Below are 18,857 nucleotides of genomic sequence, written 5' to 3'. Positions count from 1 at the left end.
AGGAGACTCTGTCTCAAAAGAAAAACAAACAAACAAAAAAAACCCCACGTCTTTTAGGCCATCTGTGCATTTAGAAGCCATAAAGGGGTTACTTACCTAACTTAAACTGGATTATCATTCAGATGTGTGTTTTGTGTGAGGGGAAGCAAAATTAGGGTGAATTGGGAGGGTATAGCCCAAACTTCTACAGCCCTCACAAAATTTCAAGCTCTCTTATTCATTATAATTTACAGGATTCTCTTCTTCTCCCAGACATGCGAACACTGCTGTCCCTAGGCCTACCCCCCAACTTGTTTGAATTGCCTGGTTATTATTTGTAGTAGTTAGACTAGTGACATTTCAGTAAGTGAATCTTATTAAACTGACTGATTCATCCTTAGCCTTATGAAAATTTATGGGATTAACTAAAGTTAATATTGCAAATGGAAGCAGTGCTTTTTGAACCCCAAGTGTCTTCAGAAGCTCTGTAAACATCCGTGGGCTGGGCATGGTGGCTCACTCCTGTAATCCCAGCACTTTGGGAGGCCGAGGCGGGTGGATCACCTGAGGCCAGGAGTTCGAGACCAGCCTGGCCAACACGGTGAAACCCTGTCTCTACCAAAAAGAAAAAAAAAAAAAATAAAAAATTAGCCAGATATGGTGATGTGCTTGTAGTCCCAGCTACTTGGGAGGCTGAGGCAGGAGAATCTCTTGAACCCAGGAGGCAGAGGTTGCAGTGAGCCGAGATCACACCACGGCACTCCAACCTGGATGACCGAGCGAGACTCTGTCTCAAAAAAAAGAGGCTCTGTGTGCATCCCGTAGTTGCTTAACTCTATAAATTGGGGCTGTCACTACAGCTTCATAGAACCATTTCAGTATTATTTTTTGAAACACTTTAACCAAATGGCCCTTGGCATTGAAGCATTTTAGGAAATGTCCTTTACTCCAAATGTTTGTGGGTTTGAGAGGAATCCTAAAAGCCCATGAGGCAGACATAATAATAGTATTAATGAGATTTTACGTTAAGCCCTCCTGTTTCATACTAAGTGGTAACTAGTTCTATTTCATCACATTATATCATAAGGTGGGGAAGATTTTATTATGTATTTCATTTAACTCTCATCAGTATTAGAATTTGAGTTATTGTCATATTTTCCATGTGCTTGCCTTCTAAGGTCAGTAAAACAAAGGAGCGGTTGTGGAGAAGAGCGTTTAAACCATTTGTTGGAAAATATATGGCGTAACGTTTGGGTTCTTTCGGCTTTTTTATCTCTGTGGCCTGATAAGCTTTAGCCACGTGGATTCATGGTCTATGTGAAATGTCTTACATTTTATATTAGTTAAAATATTTTATGTCTGCACTTAGAATTTTTTTTTTTTTTTTTTTTTTTTTTTTTTTGAGACGGAGTCTCGCTCTGTCGCCCAGGCTGGAGTGCAGTGGCGCGATCTCGGCTCACTGCAAGCTCCGCCTCCCGGGTTCACGCCATTCTCCTGCCTCAGCCTCCCGAGTAGCTGGGACTACAGGTGCCCGCTACCACGCCCGGCTAATTTTTTGTATTTTTAGTAGAGACGGGGTTTCACCGTGTTAGCCAGGATGGTCTCGATCTCCTGACCTCGTGATCCGCCCGCCTCGGCCTCCCAAAGTGCTGGGATTACAGGCGTGAGCCACCGCGCCCGGCCTCCCCTTCGGTATTTCTAAAGTAGTTATTTTTTACTTTTAATGTCCACGTGGTATTTCTGAAAAACAGACAGGTGTTTAATTTCTTGATAACCAAATATAGACCTGCACATCATGTAGTGTGGTGTGCCCTGACCCAACTTCTTCAGCAAATACAGCACGTGTGGAGTTTATTTATAGTTTGACCTCTAGTCTTCATTGGCTTGTAGTTTATTTGGGGCATAATTCATTAGCGTGACGGGCTGTGGTATTTAAGGGTCAGCTCTGAGGAGAAGGAGATAGAAGAAGAAGCACTGTTCTGGCGTTTGTGCGCTGCTGTGCTGTGTCCGCACCTGGATTACTGTGTGTGTGGAGATGGGCTTGGGTTAGGCAGACCATAGCAGACGGTAGACTGACAGCATAGGAACCTTTGGAATGAAAAGGGGGATGGCTGTAATATAGGAAAGCTTTTAAAGAGGACGTGATGTGAATATATCAAACATAGTAATTATAGGTACCATTTATTGAGTGATTATCATGAGCATACACCGTTATTTACGTACATTAGCTTATTTAAACCTCACAACAATACTCTGAGAGTGCTGTTATTTTGTTTATACAAGGCAGGCAACTGAGTTTTAAGGTAAGTGGCAAATTTGGTTAAGATAAACAAATTTGGTGAACAAATTTAAAAATCTGAAAGCTGGGGAAATCCTTTACAACATCTGTCAAGTGGGTCAGAATATTTGAAAGAAATTTTGGATTCGAATTCATTTCCTCCAGAGATGATATAGCAGGGCAAGTATAAATTAACACTAGTATCTTAACATCCTAAGATTAGAAGGGACCTTTATAGCTATCTAGCAAAGGGTTCGCTAAATTTATTAATTGAAATTACATACATGTCTAAAGAGAAGCTGGGATTGCAGAGAACATTTATTGCCTCCTTGAAAGCCTTTGTTGACAGCAGAATATAAATTCATTAAAGAGATTTGTGTTTTTGTTCCTTAAAATTATATTTAAGATTCCGTGTATTTTACTGTGAAGTTTCACCAAGGGTCAATCTGCATCAAACTGTGGAATGAACTAAACTAATTTGCAGAACTTCCAGAGAAACCCAATACTTTAAATTTATCTGTTAGCCAGGGTATTTTGAAGAGGGGGGGAACCTTTAATGTGAATAAATCTACATTGGGAAGGAATGGAATGTTTGATTTGAAATGGGCTACTGAAATGGAAGAACAGATTAATCGTGAACCCAGCCATTACTTTCCTATTTCTAAATTGAGTCAGTTGAAATATCTGGGAGGGAGTGAGCATACAGTATTTAAAATGAATATAAATTTAAAATTAGAAAAGGTTTTGTTGTAGAAAATATTTTAAAACAAATTGAGCAAAAAGGAAAAATTTGCCAATTACCAGCCATTACTGTGATACAAACATTGTTGAGATTCTGGTATATACATTTCTAGCCTTTTTAAAAACCCACATATATGATATCATTGTGTGAAGACTTACGTATATATTCATATTATAAGTTTAAACAAAAGGTTTCTTGAAGGCAAGACTGGTAACTGACCAATAACTCTTTATGAAAAACTATGTATGTATGTATGTGAGTGTGTGTGTGTGTGTGCGTGTGTGTATATATATATGCACACAATCATATATCAGAGGGAACTTGTAAGTTTGCAATCATATATCAGAGGGAACTTGTAAACAGAACATGTACAGAATTTTTACAACTTAATAATAAAGATAATCCAATTAAAGAATGGGCAAAGTATTTGAATGGTTATTTTTCCAAAGAAGGTATTCAGATGGTCAATAAGCACATTAAAAATGCTCAACATCATTCGTCATTAGAGAAGTGAAAATCAAAATCATAATGAGATACTACTTCACGCCCACCAGAACAGCTATAATAAAAATGACTGATAATAACAAGTGTTGATGAGAAAGTGGATGAATTGGAATCCTCATACACTGTTGGTGGGAATGTAAAATGGTACAGCCACTTTGGTAAATGTCTCGCAGTTCTTTGAAAGGTTAAACATAGAGTTACCAGTTAACTCAGCAGTTCGACTCCCAGTTATCTACCCAAGAGAAATGAAAACGTAACTCTCTACAAAAACTCATACATGACACTATTTGGTTGATGGTTACACTAGAGGCCTGGACTTCACCATTATATGATACATACATATATCAAAACAGCATTAATACCCCCTAGATTTATACCAAAAATAACCCTCGTATGTGAATTTTCATTGCAGCATTATTCGTAATAGCCAAAAAATGGAAACAACCCAAATGTCCATCCGTGATGAATGGATAAACAAAATGTTTCATATCCATATGATGGAATTTTACCTGGCAATAAAAAGGAATGAAGCACTGATACATGCCACAACATTATGAACCCCAAAAAATGCTTAAATGAAAGAGGCCAGTCACAGAAGACCACATATTAATATGACATCATTTATATAAAATGTCCAGAATAGTTAAATCTATACATAGAGAAATTAAATCAGTGTTTGGGGGAAGGGGGTAAGGTCCAGATATGGAGGTGCGATTGGTGACGGGTACAGGGTTCTTTCTGGGGTGCTGAAAATGATGGTGATGGTCACACAACTTTGTAAATATGCTAAAAAGCAGTGACCGTATGCTTTGAAAAGGTGAATCTATGGTATGTAAATTATATATTAATAAAGCTGTTAAAAATATGGTAGCTTATTTTCTGAGATTTCCCGGCTCGTTCCCCATTTCTGTTTTATGTGTACCATCTCTTTTCTTTTTTTTTTCTATTTTCTCTCTCCTGATCAAGCCGTTTCTTGTCGGTGTGAGTTCCTGTCTTAGATGTGAGTCCTGGAGTGTCAGTTTCCAGAGTTTATACCCTTAGACTTTGCTGTGGGCACTTCTACTCACTAACTGGGATAGAGAAAAACTTGTGGTTTCAGCTGCTGTGCTCCCATGGGCAGGCCATGATTGACAATGAGTACCTGTTGGCTGCCTTGTAGATCTGTTCTCTGGCCTGTCAGTCACCCGGCTGCTTCCCTTTGCATCCTTCCTCAGAGATGCCGAGATTCTGCAAGTCTTGTATGTAGTTTGTACCAAAGCCACTTTTATTTTTGGATTCAAGAGGATACTTTCTCACCTAATTTTGTTGTAAATGTTGTCCATGGGTTTTGGTTTTGATATCAGTTGTTCTGTTTTTGTGTGGAGATTTGGGAAAATCAAACAATTTTGCTTCCATTGCTGTGGCCATCTTCCTAGAATTCAGAAGTGTAATCTTTCCGGCTGTTTGAGGAAGAGATTTGGAGGGAATTGATCTGACAAAAACAGAAGATATTGTCCTGGAGATTTTAATGTCCTTGAAAGAACTCTTGGTCTATTAGTCTATTTAAATCTGTTTAAACTCAGAACCTGGCATTAGTAAACACTCAGATAAATATTCTTGGAATGCTGTTGAGTTTGTTGAACGTAGATGTGCAGGAGATGAATGGCTACCTGAATGAGGTGGGCTAGAATTTAGAGCTGGTACCCACTTACCAGTATGGTCATTGAGGGGGCTGGATGAATAGTTTCTCCTCCTTATGCATGCAGATCGGAAACACTTCTGAAGCTTTGGTCAGCTTGTCTCACATGCCTCAGTTTATCACGAATGCCTGAAATGATACATAACTATCATGTTAAGTTTCGGTCTCACTAGGGTATGAATACTAGGGTGTTGATCAGAATGATGCAGATCCTACATGCATCTGAATGAGTGTGCTAGAGACCCTTAATTAATCCTTAGGTGCTGGGTCTGTTTTCCAAGTCCAAGGCTTTGGATTCCGTTTTTGTACATTAAACTACCATAAACCCTGCTTGTGGGTAACCAAAGCACATGTAGTGGTTTAATCATGCAGGACCTTTCCAATTTGGTATGGAGGGAACTGCCTGATCTTTCCTGAGCTCTCTTTTCTCTAATAATCACTTTTGTTTATTCTACTCTTACATGAATCGTAAAATGTTAGTAAATAGAACTATATATGTTATAGAGATGAATTCCCTAAAGGCCCCCTCGATGACAACACTGTGATGTGTGCTCCATCCTTCTCGATCCTCTTATCCTCACCAACACTTAGCGTCAGAGGTTTCATTTGCTTGGTGCTCTGTTTTGCAACATGTCCTTGGAGAAAAGGTTGCTGAGGTTGAAATGAAGGACAAAACCATGCAATGTGCCGTCTGTTGAAGACAGCATATTCTTTTGTGTTTTAACAAAGGCCTGCAATGCTTTAATTAGAAGAAGTTGAATTGGGTGGCAATTTAAGTACCTTGGACATTTTTCAAATCTGGGTGATGCCCAGTGATCTTGGTTTTAAGTAAAGTACGTAAATAATAGAATTATAAGGAATCCAGTGTTTACTTTCTGAGTAGCAGTGAAGAGGCTAAGTGTTTTCCTTCTGGGTTGGCTTCTCAGATGTGTTTCTCAATAAATTCTCTAGAGATATGTGTGTCAAGTCAGCTTGTTAAAAAACAAAGAAACATGAAGGCATGTAGCCCTCACAGTTGGATGCTTTTAAACACTGCAGCTGTTTGAAAGGCCGGAGCGAACGAATTCAATTATGACTGAGAAACCTATCATCTCTCCCTGTTAGTGCTTGTCATGAACATCCTTCTCAAAATAATGGTAGCCCAGGGAAGAGAGTTGTGCAAGGAATATAGACAGCTTCAGTTAACTTCAATTTAAAAAGGAACAAAAGACAAAAAATAAAATGACACTTAATTCTTAAAAGATAAGTGAAGGATTATAATCTTGGTTCACCATGCTAGAAGTTTACTCAAACTTCCATTTTTTTGGGTCTACTCTTTGAAACTGTGCTTTATTTTGTACATAGTGGTTAATTTAACTCTTTAAACAAATGAGTTCTTGGCTTAAAGCTTTTCTGCATTATTATTTACAACCTTTTTTTGGTAATAAAAGATGATCATGGTAAAGTTTATGCAATAGAAAAATATAAAAAGTTAAAACAAAAAGAAAAATAACTTCCCTTTCAATTTTTCATCCTTTCAGGAAGTTATAGATTGATGCATACCCTAGACTTTAAAAATTCATATGACCAGGCGCAGTGGCTCACGCCTGTAATCTTAGCACTTTGGGAGGCCAAGGCGGGCATATTGCCTGAACTCAGGAGTTCGAGACCAGCCTGGGCAACATGGTGAAACCTTGTCTCTACTAAAATACAAAAGAAATTAGCTGGGTATGGCAGCGTGCACCTGTAGTCCCAGCTACTCGGGAGGCTGAGGCAGGAGAATTGCTTGAACCCGGGAGGCGGAGGTTGCAGTGAGCCGAGATTGCACCACTGCACTCCAGCCGGGTGACAGAGCGAGACTCCATCTCTCCAAAAAAAAAAAAAAAAGCATATATACATGTATATATACACACAGACGTACCTATAATTTGTTGTGATGTATGAATTGCATTTTTTTGCAAAAATTATATGTTTACTATTCTGCGACATGGTTTGTTTCACCTAACAGGTCATAGTCTTCTCTCCATATAGCTGAGATCTGGTGAGCTGTATTCTCCCTTTTTGTGTCAGTAAGGGTATTACATACATAATGACCCATACATAAGAAAGATGTCAGGGGAAACTGCAACCCTACCCAAATAGTTTGTCCTTCTCAACCCCTGGCCCACATAGATGTGCAGTACCTAAAAGTCATTTAACAGCTGTCAAATCAATTGCACGGCTGCTGGTGTCATAGAGGATAAGCAGCAGCTGGTGGGCAAGTGTAACCATCCCCATTTCTCTGCATGGGTGGAGGGGGGACAGCAGCAGATGGACATAGTTCTACTCTTGTTCAATTTTTAACTGTAACTTAAGGGCTTTCCTTTAGGTGTTTAATTTTAAAGTAATAAAAAGTGATTTTAGTGAAATACTTAAAAAAAGATTTAGATAAGTTAGAAGAAAAGAATTATCCGTAGTCCCTCGCTACCCAAATATAATTATTGTTAGCATTCTGTGATACTTCTTTTTGTTCATGCCTTTTCTTGAATCTGTTGTTAGAAATGGCACTTTACATCTGTGGTCTTCCTCCCTAAAACCCATCACTCAGTCTAATCATGAGAAAAACATCAGATAAATCCTGACTAAGAAACTTTTAAAAAAAATGCCTCTTGAGAACCCCTCAAAACTGTCACAGTCATTAAAAACAATGAACGTCTGAGAAACTGTCACAGCCAAGAGGAGCTTAGGGAGACATATGACTAAATGTAATGTGTTGTCCTAGATGGGATTCTGAAACAGAAAAAGGACATTTGGGTGTCCATACTGAAGAGGGATGTTAACAATAGAAGAAACTGGGTGTGATTTATAAGGAAACTTTTTCAACTATCTTCACCTTTTCTGTAAATCTAAAACTATTCTGAAATAAGGTCAAATACATCTTTTAAAAAGTACTACAATAATACTATGTATGCAGTTTTGAACTCTGCTTTTTCTTACTGCGCCATCTTTTTAAAAAATCTAGTGATTGTTCACTATTTCTCAGAATGAATATGCTTTGATTCACGTAACTATTGCCTTTGCTGGGGAGATGTGTGTGTGTGTGTGTGTGTGTGTATGTATATATATCCCCCCTACAAAAGCCTATTCTAATTTACAGTTACACCACCTATATATATAAATACCTGATTTCCTTGAACTTTCTCTAGCATTGTGTATAATCTTTTATATCATAATCTTTCCCAAAACTAGTATCTTGATTTAATCTGTATTTCTTTAATGAAGTTCACATGTAAGCATTTCTCCATTAGGTTTATTTTACTGCTTCTCTTAAGAAGTCTCTGTTCACATTAATTGTCCCACTTGAGCCTGTGTTTTTCTTGTGAGTTTTCTTGAGCTGTTTAAATAGTAAACACAAAACTTTTAATAGTAAGCACAAACAGAGATGGGAAATTGGACTTAATAAGTATTCTTTTGTAATGATCCTGTAGAATGCAACTAGGAAGAGGAAAAATTATAATTTATTAAGATAAAAACTAATGTAATTGAAATTCATATCAAAAGAAAATACAGAATGATAGTAAGGAGTAGCTCATTTTCTTTGTATTTGCTTTATTTTGGAGCAGCATGTGTATTTTGGAAATGTTGGGGTTGTTTAACAAAATTGTTTATACTTCCTGCGTTTATTTTTTAAGGTATTTGCTAGATCAAAAATAATACATTTTGTAACTACCTGTTAACATACAAGAATATCTCAAAACATTTAGAATGTAATTTCTTTAAGCAATATGAATAGAGCCTACAATTAAAATATTTTGTTTAGTAATAATGAAAAACTAGTTGTTAGCAAGTGATTTTGTTGCTAGCTGCGAAACTAGAACTAATAATTATCTTAATCCTTTCTCCCCTGCAAAAACCCCACACACTTTTCCCCTAAAAATAAAGAAAGTCATGTTGTGAAGTAGAGGATCCGGTGGAATTAAAAATGCATTGACCCAGGATCTCCTGGTACCTGGCCATGGACAGGAGTAGGTCTTTATCCATGGGTGAAAGGCAGTTCAGTCTGCTGGTTTGGTTTATTTTAGCCCTGCATGCCTGAAACAGACTCTTGAGAGAGGGGCCCAGGAGCACGGGGGCTGCATGTTCTTTCCCCATGACTGCAAATGCCAGAGATACTGTGAAACTGGACTGTGGAACTCATTAACCCGGGCCTGATGGCTGGCAGGCTTCACAGCTTCCTCTGATTTTGACAGGGGATGGAAGATGTTCAGACACCTTGTGTATGTAACTTAATCTCCTTGTGAGCTCTATTTTTGCTTTTTGTGCTTAGGCAGTGTCTATTTTTAGATATTAAAAAGTCTCTCATATCTCTCTTACTTTTACCTTCTTTATAAATTATACCTTTTTTTCTGTACTAACCTGAATTAAAATATTTATACAAAATGATGTTAGAAATCTTTTCATCACAGATAATGCATGATACTGTGTGTGTGTGTGTGTGTGTGTGTGTGTGTGTGTGTGTGTGTTTACTAGGGATGGAAGACCACATGGAAAATGAAATTGTTTTTAAAGTAAAAGTGTATGTACCAAGTAAAATGTATAGATTGGGGTAGACAAATGATCTTTTAAATGGAGAATGTTTCAGATTGCTCAACTTAAAATTTCTTATCCTTTTTTTTGAAGCTATTACCTGAGAATGGAAGTATTTATTATACCAGAATCATTATTATAAACCTTGGTTAGTTCTTATATTGAAAGAATGGAGAAATGTTCTATTCAGTCCTTTGGCATGTTTCAACGAAAGCTTAAGTTGCGGCATAGAAGAATGAAGGTGTATCCCCGGGGAGATGGGGGACAAAACCCTTTTAAGTCTGCCACAAGCTCTAAATTACTTTGACACCTTGTTGTATATTAAGAAGTAATTCAGATTTTAGTTTATTTGATAATATATCTTATGTATTTTAATATAAAGATGTTTTTAAAAGCTTGGCAGTAAAATGATTTAACCCCCCCACTCTCCAGTCTATAAGTCAGAATCATTCTACTAGAATCTGTGCCATGTTCATCCTTGACTTTAGGGCACCCTTGGTGGGTGGTACACATCCTACAGTGTACATAGAGCTCAGTTAATACAGCTTTGCATTAGATGCAGGAGGAAGGGCTCAAGATCTACATGTTTCAGGAGATTCCAAGCAGAGTTTGTGTTTGAAGTGTTCACTTCAGCAAAAGTCCACAGGTTTTCATGATTTGAATAATTCCTCACTGCTTAATGTTCATTTTCTGTTAATTGAAACATTCCTTCATTCATTTGACAAATGTTCCAGTCTCCAGGACTGAAAAAGGGTCTGTCTCCATGGAGTTTACAGTGTAGCTTTTCCTATGGTTTCTAGGTTGATAGATACATTCTAAAACTAGTTAAAACTTGTTGCCTTTATTCTCCAGTAGCTAACAACAACAAGAACAACAACAACAAAAATCAACCCCAAAGCATCTTCATTATCTGGAGAATAAACCTACTGCATTCTGTGAGTGAGAAAATGTAGATTAATCTGTATATTCTGTTAATTCTTGCTAAAAAAGAGAATTTCTTATTGCCAGAGTATTATATTTTTTATTTTGTACATAATTCTTGATAGGAAAGAATAGGTTGTGCTGTTCTTTTGTGAAGGTGAAGTCCTCTGTGCTTTCTGATTATACGTTATTTTCAGCTATTGAAAAAGCTGCTTAATGCCAAGGTCATGTAGTATCAGGCATTGACTAAGGATAGTTATGTGGGTGGACCTTGACTGACATATCTGATGCAAAAACAGTTCTTACTGACAAATTGAATCAGTTATTCACCACCACTGTGCAATCCCCCATGATTGTGGGAGATTTGGGGTTTGGAGATACTGTGACTTCAGAGGAAGAAAGGGGGAAATTAAAAAGAAGTAAGAGAACTAATCCTGGAAACAAGCTGTCACACAAGCTTGAGGGTAGAGCTGGGTCAGGGAGAAGGGGAGTATGTAGAACTTCCTTTTTGAAAATATTTTCCTTGTTTTCAGACTCATTTTTGAAAGCATTTTGATACCACAGCATATTAGAGATGGATGAGAGATCAAGAGATCATCTCATTTTGGTCTAACACTAATATTATGTAAAGGAAACTAAAGCTTGTTTATTTAGAGTGACTTGTCCAGGGTCAGGTGGTTAATTAGTGACAGCATATATGCATCTAGAGTCTAGAAACTTGTTCTGGGTTTTTCCTGTGAGACTTTCTCTTTCTCTGGAGTGCTCATTGCTGATGGGTGATGGTTGCACATGAAGCTGGAGAACTGATCGATGCTATATGGGGGAAAGCTTTGTGTGTCCTTGTGAGGAATTTCACTCTATGTGTGTGTGCTGGAGAGCTAGTGCTGATTTTAAGCATGGATGTGGCTGGGCGTGGTGGCTCATGCCTGTAATCCCAGCACTTTGGGAGGCCGAGGCAGGTGGATCACGAGGTCAGGAGATCGAGCCCATCCTGGCTAACACGGTGAAACCCCTGTCTCTACTAAAAAAAAAAAAATACAAAAAATTAGCTGGGCATGGTGGTGGGCGCCTGTAGTCCCAGCTACTTGGGAGGCTGAGGCAGGAGAATCGCTTGAACCCAGGAGGTGGAGGTTGCAGTGAGCTGAGGTCACGCCACTGCCCTCCAGCCTGGGCAATAGAGTGAGACTCTGTCTCAAAAAAAAAAAAAAAGCATGAATTTACTGTTAGGTTTGTATTTAGAAAGAACACTTTGACTGTGATTTGGAGAATGGGGTGTATTGGAAGTAGTGGCGGTGGTAAATGGGTGAATGGGTATATTAGGAAGCTACTGAGAGTTGTTCATGCAAAAAATGATGGGAACCATGTAAACAGTGGAAGTGGAAAAAAAGTGCGGCTGGTTAGAGCAATATTAAAGAGGAAGAGAAATAGGATTTAGTGATTGTATATTGGTGGTAGGATGGGGTGAAAGGAGGGAGAGAAATGAAGTGTTTTGGTTTTCTAGGGTACATAACAATTCACCTTTCTAATTAATGGCTTAAATCAACAGCAGTTGTTTATTTGCCCACTATTTTGCAATTTGGGCAGGGCTTGATGGATGGCTCATCTGTACTCCACATAGTGTCTGCAAGAGCTGGAATTTTCAGGATGGCTTCTTTACTGGGTGGTGCCTCGGCTGACCTTGTGGTGTCATCTAGGGGCTGGCTGGGAATGGCTCTCCTTTTGGTCTCTCCCCAACGCTAGCATGACCTGCCTTACAGCATGTCAGTCTCCTGGTAGTCTGACTTCCTGCATGGTGGCTGGCTTTTCCCTAGAGCTCAATAGTAGAAACTGTTAGCCTTCTTCATACTGGGGTGCAGAAGTCCCAGAACATTAGTTCTGCTACATTCTTTTGGTCAGAGCAGCCACAGGGCCAGATTGCATTCAAGAAGAAGGGAAATAGCTCCCATCAAAGAATTTATGGGTGCATATTTAATCCATCACTGTCTGCCCTCTGGCCACAAATTATTTACATTTCTTCAAAGGCAAAACACAGTTGCTCACTCCCAAGATGCCCAGCAGTCTCAGCTCATTATAGCATCAGGCTCCGACTCAGATACCAGAATTGCATTCATTAAATCACGTGGGGGTGTAGATAAGGTGGGTTGGGTGTGGTTTCTCAGTTGCAGAGGTGTGTGAACTAAATAAAAGGACAAGTTATTTGTCCCCCAGCCCCCCATATATAAAACAGGAATATGGGGATGATATAAGCCCAGTAGACACCCCTGTTCCAAATGGATGTGGGGCAGTTGGTTACAGTACTGTAGAACAGGTACTGGTCCATAGCAGTTCTGAAATTCAGCCAATTCTCAGCCTCAGCTCTCATTGGGAATGATTTTCTGTGATTTTTGGCTCCATCCTCTGTGTTGTCCCTCCATTCCAGTAAGAAACAGCTGATGTTTGCAGCCAACTCTTTTTTAGCATGCTTCCTGCCTATAGAAGTTTGGGGGTTTGGAGGCCTCCTTTATTTTGGGAGATCTTATTTCATTTATTCTTGATCTCCTGACCTCGTGATCCGCCTGCCTCGGCCTCCCAAAGTGCTGGGATTACAGGCGTGAGCCACCGCGCCCGCCTAATTTCATTTATTCTAAGCTAGTGTAGTACCCCCAAATTTTAAGAACTTTCTGTATATCAAATTACAGTCTACTCTGTTTGAGAAAAGTCACACCCAGAATATCTTTGAAGATAAGATTGGTTCTTCTCTACTTTAGGCTGGGTGTCAGGTTGCTGTGGGACAGCCCCTTAAAGTCTTAGAAACCCCCTTGTCTAGATAAGTGGGTCTGGGAGACAGGTCCTCAGATCTTTGAGGTGAGAAAGAAAAAGGAGTCTTACTTTCTTGATACTAACCATGGGTCCTTTTTACTGTCAGAGCCCTATTTTGGTCCTTGACCTGAGGCTACTTTATACTGTAAAAATCTTTTGCTGAGAGGGACTGCAGATGGAAGTAGCTTTACTTTTGGACCCATAACGTTTTGGGTCCTTTATATTCCCTCTGATTTCTGCTTTTCTTAGCTTGTCTTGCTTCTCCCATACTTTATCACAGGCAGTTAAAGGAAGCCAGTTATACTTCCAGCTTTCTGTTGGGAAATCCTCTTAAGTTGACCCCCAAGTTCATTAGATACTCTCTCTGTTGTGTACATTACAACAGTTTTCCTCATTGTTTGCCAGTTCACAGCTGGTATCTTCTTCTGTCCCGCCTTCAGTAGCCGTTTCCTCACTAGCAGCTCCCACTTTCAGACCCACTAGCCATTTCCTCGAGGCCCTTCAGGCTCCACACAAAACCCATTCCCAAAGCCAATTCCACATGTTTTAGATTTTCTTATGCCAGCACCCACTTCTAGATTCTGATTTTTGTCTTGTTCATTGCGTAACAAACCACCTCCAAACTTAGTGGCTTAAAATGATAACAACGTTTATATACTTAGTACCCTGCAATTTGAATTCTCCTTGGTAAGAACAGCTTATGTCTACTTCACATGGCATCTGCCAGGACTAGAACGTCCAAGGTAGGATCTTCCCTCTTGTGTGTGAAGCCTTGACTGAGTGGCTCAAACACCTGGGGCTGGCCAGGCATCTCTTTCTCTCCATTTGGCCTCTATGCTGCAAGCTTGGCCTTCCTCACAGCGTGGTGGTCTTATGGTAGTCATGACTTTTGTTATAGCTGCTGGATATTTTCAGAGTAGGAAAGTGGAAGTAGCCAAGCCTTAGTACCTCGGCTTGAAGAGCTCAAAATGTTCATTTAATTGCTTCTATTAATCAAAGCAGCCACCTAACCAGGGAAGCAGATAGTATCACTTTTCAGTGGGAAAACTACGAATAATTTGTAGCCATCTCTAGTCTACTATACGAGGGTAATTCCTAGGTTTTTCTGGTTTAGCATTGGTAGATTATGATACTATTCCCTTGAACTGGGTTTTCTGGGAAAGGTCATGCTTCATTTTACATTTCAGAGAAGCCAACTCCAAAACAAACAAATGAAAAACAAAACAAAACAAAACAAAAAAGCAAAGCAAATCAAAACAAACACAAAAACAAAAAGCCAAACAGGAAAAGAAAGACCTGTCAGCTTTGTAGACTGACTTATCTTTTCTCTCCTTGCCGTCTCCACACAATATAATTATATTACTGTTTTCACATTTTCTACCATTTATCTCAGTTTTCTCTTTTTCAGCTACAGAGAGTATCCCTTACATTCTGTATTAGTTCTACTGCCTTTCCTTCTCTTTTCCTCTGCTTCCACTTTATAGTTTCTGGTATCTGCCCTTTATTTTTTGTGTTGTTTAAATTGATATCATCACATCGTGATGTGTTCATAGTTAATTTATGCTTTGTAAGTTGATTTTGGGAGTTGATTATTACTGGACTAAAGGTTTTATGCTAATATGACTGTGTAAATATTCACTAAAGAGTCACTGTGCCATGACTACACTTTTTTGTTTGGCAGCTTTTTGTTTTTCCTGGAGTTTCTGCTTACCATTTTTTTTTCTTGCCTTCTCTGCTTTAATCAGACCCTTAAATTCTTCTAACATCTCAAGCATACTAATTAACCTGTGAAATCCATTCATTTCCTAGATCCTCCTCAGCTAGGGCCCTCAGTTGTCCTGTTTCAGTTGGGACTGATGGCAATGTGTCCTCAAGGTTGGATTCTCTATTTCTTAGATTGTATGGCTTCCTGTTTCTTATTTTACTCTCTTGTTTTGCTTCAGCATATCTTTAAGTAAGCTCTCTAAAATGCTTTTATGTGTAAAATCTCTGAATTTTTTCTCATCTGAAAATGTCTATTCTTTAATCATAATTTTTTTCAGTGTCATAGGCAAAGAAATACTCAAGTGCTCAGAATGTTGTTCCCTAAGGATGCTGTAAATACATTTAAGGGTGTATGATTACTTGTTTCTGTTGTTTTCCCCAAATTTGTTTTCTGATCTTATATTCCTGCTTCATCATTGTTTTTTTCTTTTTCTTATTAATATTTTTGAATTTTAGGAATTACATTCAGACATTAGTTATTGGGTTTTAAAAATTGATAATTAATTATACTAGATGACAAACTTGTGAAATTCTCCTTAACTGGCTTTATTAGGAAATCATTATTGTGACACAAATACAATATGCCTATTTTAGAAAAATCTGTAAAATTTCCGAAATATCTACACCTTTCAGTCCCTATTTAAGAATCTCTTTACTTTTTCCCTGGTGAGATAAAGTTGGATTACTTAAAACTTTTCAGGACAGCTTTGTCTTTTAAAAACATAGTCAACAAGATCTGGAATATTTTAGGCCTTTGGCTAGTGGTGCTTTTTAAGTCAGTTCTGTTGCCCCTTCTTTGAAACAGCTGCTGAGACAATAAAGGTTGAGATATAAACTCCATTAACAGCATTCGTGGCTGGAATAAAAATATGCTTTATTGTTTTAGTATAATGAATGGAACTGTCTGGGAGGCCGACTGATTTTTTTCTACGTCTGTTGAGATGTGAAATTTGCAGCTTGTGGGTTTTAATGAAGGAAACTGGATTAAACATTTACCCCTTACATAAATTATAAGCAGGTGAAATAAGCCTGTGGAACACCTTGTGTGAAAGCAGGAGCTACATTAATAGCAGGTCATGAGAAAAACGAGGGACTTTGTTGAGGAAGTCCAGAGCCAATGGGTTGCAGAACCAACCTGATCCTGCTTATAAATAAAGAGGCTTAAACAAGCCAGCCAATTAAATGGGAGGGGCACAACAACTTACTGCTTGTGGAGCCATGATACTTACCAAGGTATCATTTCTTTTATTTATTTATTTTTATGTATTTATTTTTTTGAGATGGAGTCTCACTCTGTTGCCCAGGCTGGAGTGCAGTGGTACGATCTCGGCTCACTGCCACCTCCGCCTCCCGGGTTCAAGTGATTCTCCTGCCCCAGCCTCCTAAGTATCTGGGACTACAGGTGTGCGCCACCACACCTGGCTGATTTTGTATTTTTAGTAGAGATAGGGTTTCTCCATGTTGTCCAGGCTGGTCTCGAACTCCTGACCTCAGGTGATCCACCTGCCTCGTCCTTCCAACGTGCTGGGATTACAGGCGTGAGCCACCGTGCCTAGCCGTATCATTTATTTTCACTGTTGGATTGTGAACTTCATAAACTATGATTTTGCTGTTTCCAGCAACTCATAGAGAAATACCAGGAATCTTTATAAATAGCCTTTGATTGTATACAGATTATGGTATTAGAACGTTGGAGGAATGGATCTCATATTGTGACTTTTGCAGTTTACCACTCACTTTAAAAAACATTCGCGAAAAGGGCCTTCTAGTTTGAACTGAGTCTTGTACATGTTTGTTCCTGTTTAGATATACCAGAAAGAGGCACGGCGTCTGTGGTGAGGAGTTGCTAAGGAGGAAGTAGCAGTAGATATATCTGTTTTATGCCTACCCTTATCCACTGTTGAGTAGTTACCAACCAGTACATTTCAGGTAACTTGTACCTTTGTCCTACCATGTCTGTCTCAGGCCTCCTTTAACACAAAGGAATGGCAGCATTCTTTTTAGAACATATATTCTAATTGGATAAATATTTTTTGATTTCACACACACTGCCTGCAAACATACTTCTGTACTTAGTGCCTATACTCCTATTGTAAATGGTTATTTTTATACTTGGTACCTTCTATACTGAATGCATTCTCTATGCAGTGATCCTGCACCCCACCTCACCTGTATGCTCTGTCAAATTGTAGCAAGGTTTTGCACATTGCAGTTGCTCAATAAATGTTTGTTGAATGAAATTAATTGGCTACAGTCTGTTCCTGTTGTTTCCCTTTAACTTAAATCTACACAATATTCCTGTATTGAAAGTACAATAACATTATTTGCAGTGCTCAGAATCATTGCCAAGGATATATTTGATTTGCACGTTATACTGAGAAGTAACAATGAACAAATGAATGAACAAAACAGCTAACCACATACTTTTTAATTTTTTTAAAGATTCGCAAATCTAGCGTCTATTGTATTTGAAATATAAAATATATTTATGTTTGCTATTTAATAATAAGGTTTATATTTTGGCAAGTATTTGGCTTGTAGGTGGTTCTGAGCATTCTTTTTCTTTTCTGTGTTTTCCTTAAAATTAAACAAAAATTATACAGCTGAAACATCTGGCAGATCTGATTTAATACATAGCCAAAATGACCATTGTTCTTTCCATGATTGTCAATTCTTTTGATGACCTCTTGTGTTTAATAATGTCGTTTCCTTTTTAGACTTCACAACGGTTATGGCTAGATTGTAAATCTGTGGAATCTAAACTATGGTTCTGCTAAATCTTTGTTAATAAATGAGGAAGTAAAATGAATATGAACTTGAGCTCAAAATTAATGGGTCTGAGATGACAGTAAGCTTGTTTTAAATATCTGAGTTTGCATATCAGCTCTGTTTACTAGTGTCATGACTTTTCTTTCTCTAAGTTAATTATATTTCTCTTGTCTTATAAGGTAATTGTAAGAATCAACAGTAGTTGAAAAGCACTTTGTAGCTATTAGCTGTATATATGAGATTATAATTACCAAGTCATATTACATAATCCATATTTCAAAGCAATTAACATAGGCATTTTCAGAAACCAAATCATTCTGATAGACTGACTCATATTCTTCCTCTAAGAAAATAAATATCTGTATTACTCAAGAAAGAGTTTAGTTTTGTTTTTTTGTTTTTTTTTTTTTGAGACAGAGTTTTGCTCTTGTTGCCCAGGCTGGAGTGCAATGGCACGATCTCTGCTCACTGCAACCTTCGTCTCCCTGGTTCGATTCTCCTGCCTCAGCCTCCAGAGTAGCAGGGATTACAGGCATGTGCCACCACGCCTGGATAATTTTGTATTTTTAGTAGAGTTGGGGTTTCTCCGGGTTGGTCAGGCTGGTCGCGAACTCCCAACCTTAGGTGATCCGCCCACCTTGGCCTCCCAAAGTGCTGGGATTACAGGCATGAGCCACTGTGCCCAGCCAAAGATTTTTTTATATCATTTAAAAAATTTTTCCCCAAGAATGTGGAACCTACAAATTTCTCAGGTCTGGGTAACTCTAAACCGCTGTATTGTTGCACTGAAAAATTTGCTGTTTGTAGGTCTCGCCTGTGCATAGCAAGCCAAGTGGCTATGAGTGGGTAGAATATTATCTGGTGGATCGAATGCGGCA

General features: G+C 38.5%; 1 protein-coding gene across 10 annotated transcripts in view, besides 1 other annotated feature; it reads left to right on the top strand.

Moving 5' to 3' along the window:
* TBC1D4 (TBC1 domain family member 4) overlaps positions 1-18,857 on the top strand; it is a 198,667-nt gene that overhangs the window by 69,853 nt on the left and 109,957 nt on the right. Inside the window, exon 1 of one of the 10 annotated variants that reach the window (XM_006719903.4) lies at positions 1,676-9,416. The exons of the other annotated variants lie outside the window; for them this stretch is intronic. Coding sequence (XP_006719966.1) covers positions 9,393-9,416 — 24 coding nt within the window. The 5' untranslated portion in view covers positions 1,676-9,392. Of the gene's footprint in view, positions 1-1,675; positions 9,417-18,857 lie in introns of those variants that run through there. 10 annotated transcript variants of the gene reach the window in all.
* Positions 16,941-16,990: an enhancer, noted in NCBI's record as "active region_7826". NCBI's record gives its function as "activates an Ori minimal core promoter by ATAC-STARR-seq in GM12878 lymphoblastoid cells {active_cell/tissue: GM12878}" and the evidence as "EXISTENCE:reporter gene assay evidence [ECO:0000049][PMID:35858748]".

The sequence above is a fragment of the Homo sapiens genome, chromosome 13 (assembly GCF_000001405.40).
Source record: "Homo sapiens chromosome 13, GRCh38.p14 Primary Assembly".
Lineage (NCBI taxonomy): Eukaryota > Metazoa > Chordata > Mammalia > Primates > Hominidae > Homo > Homo sapiens.
The sequence above is the reverse complement of the archived record's forward strand: the minus strand, read 5'-3'. Positions and strand labels throughout refer to the sequence as shown.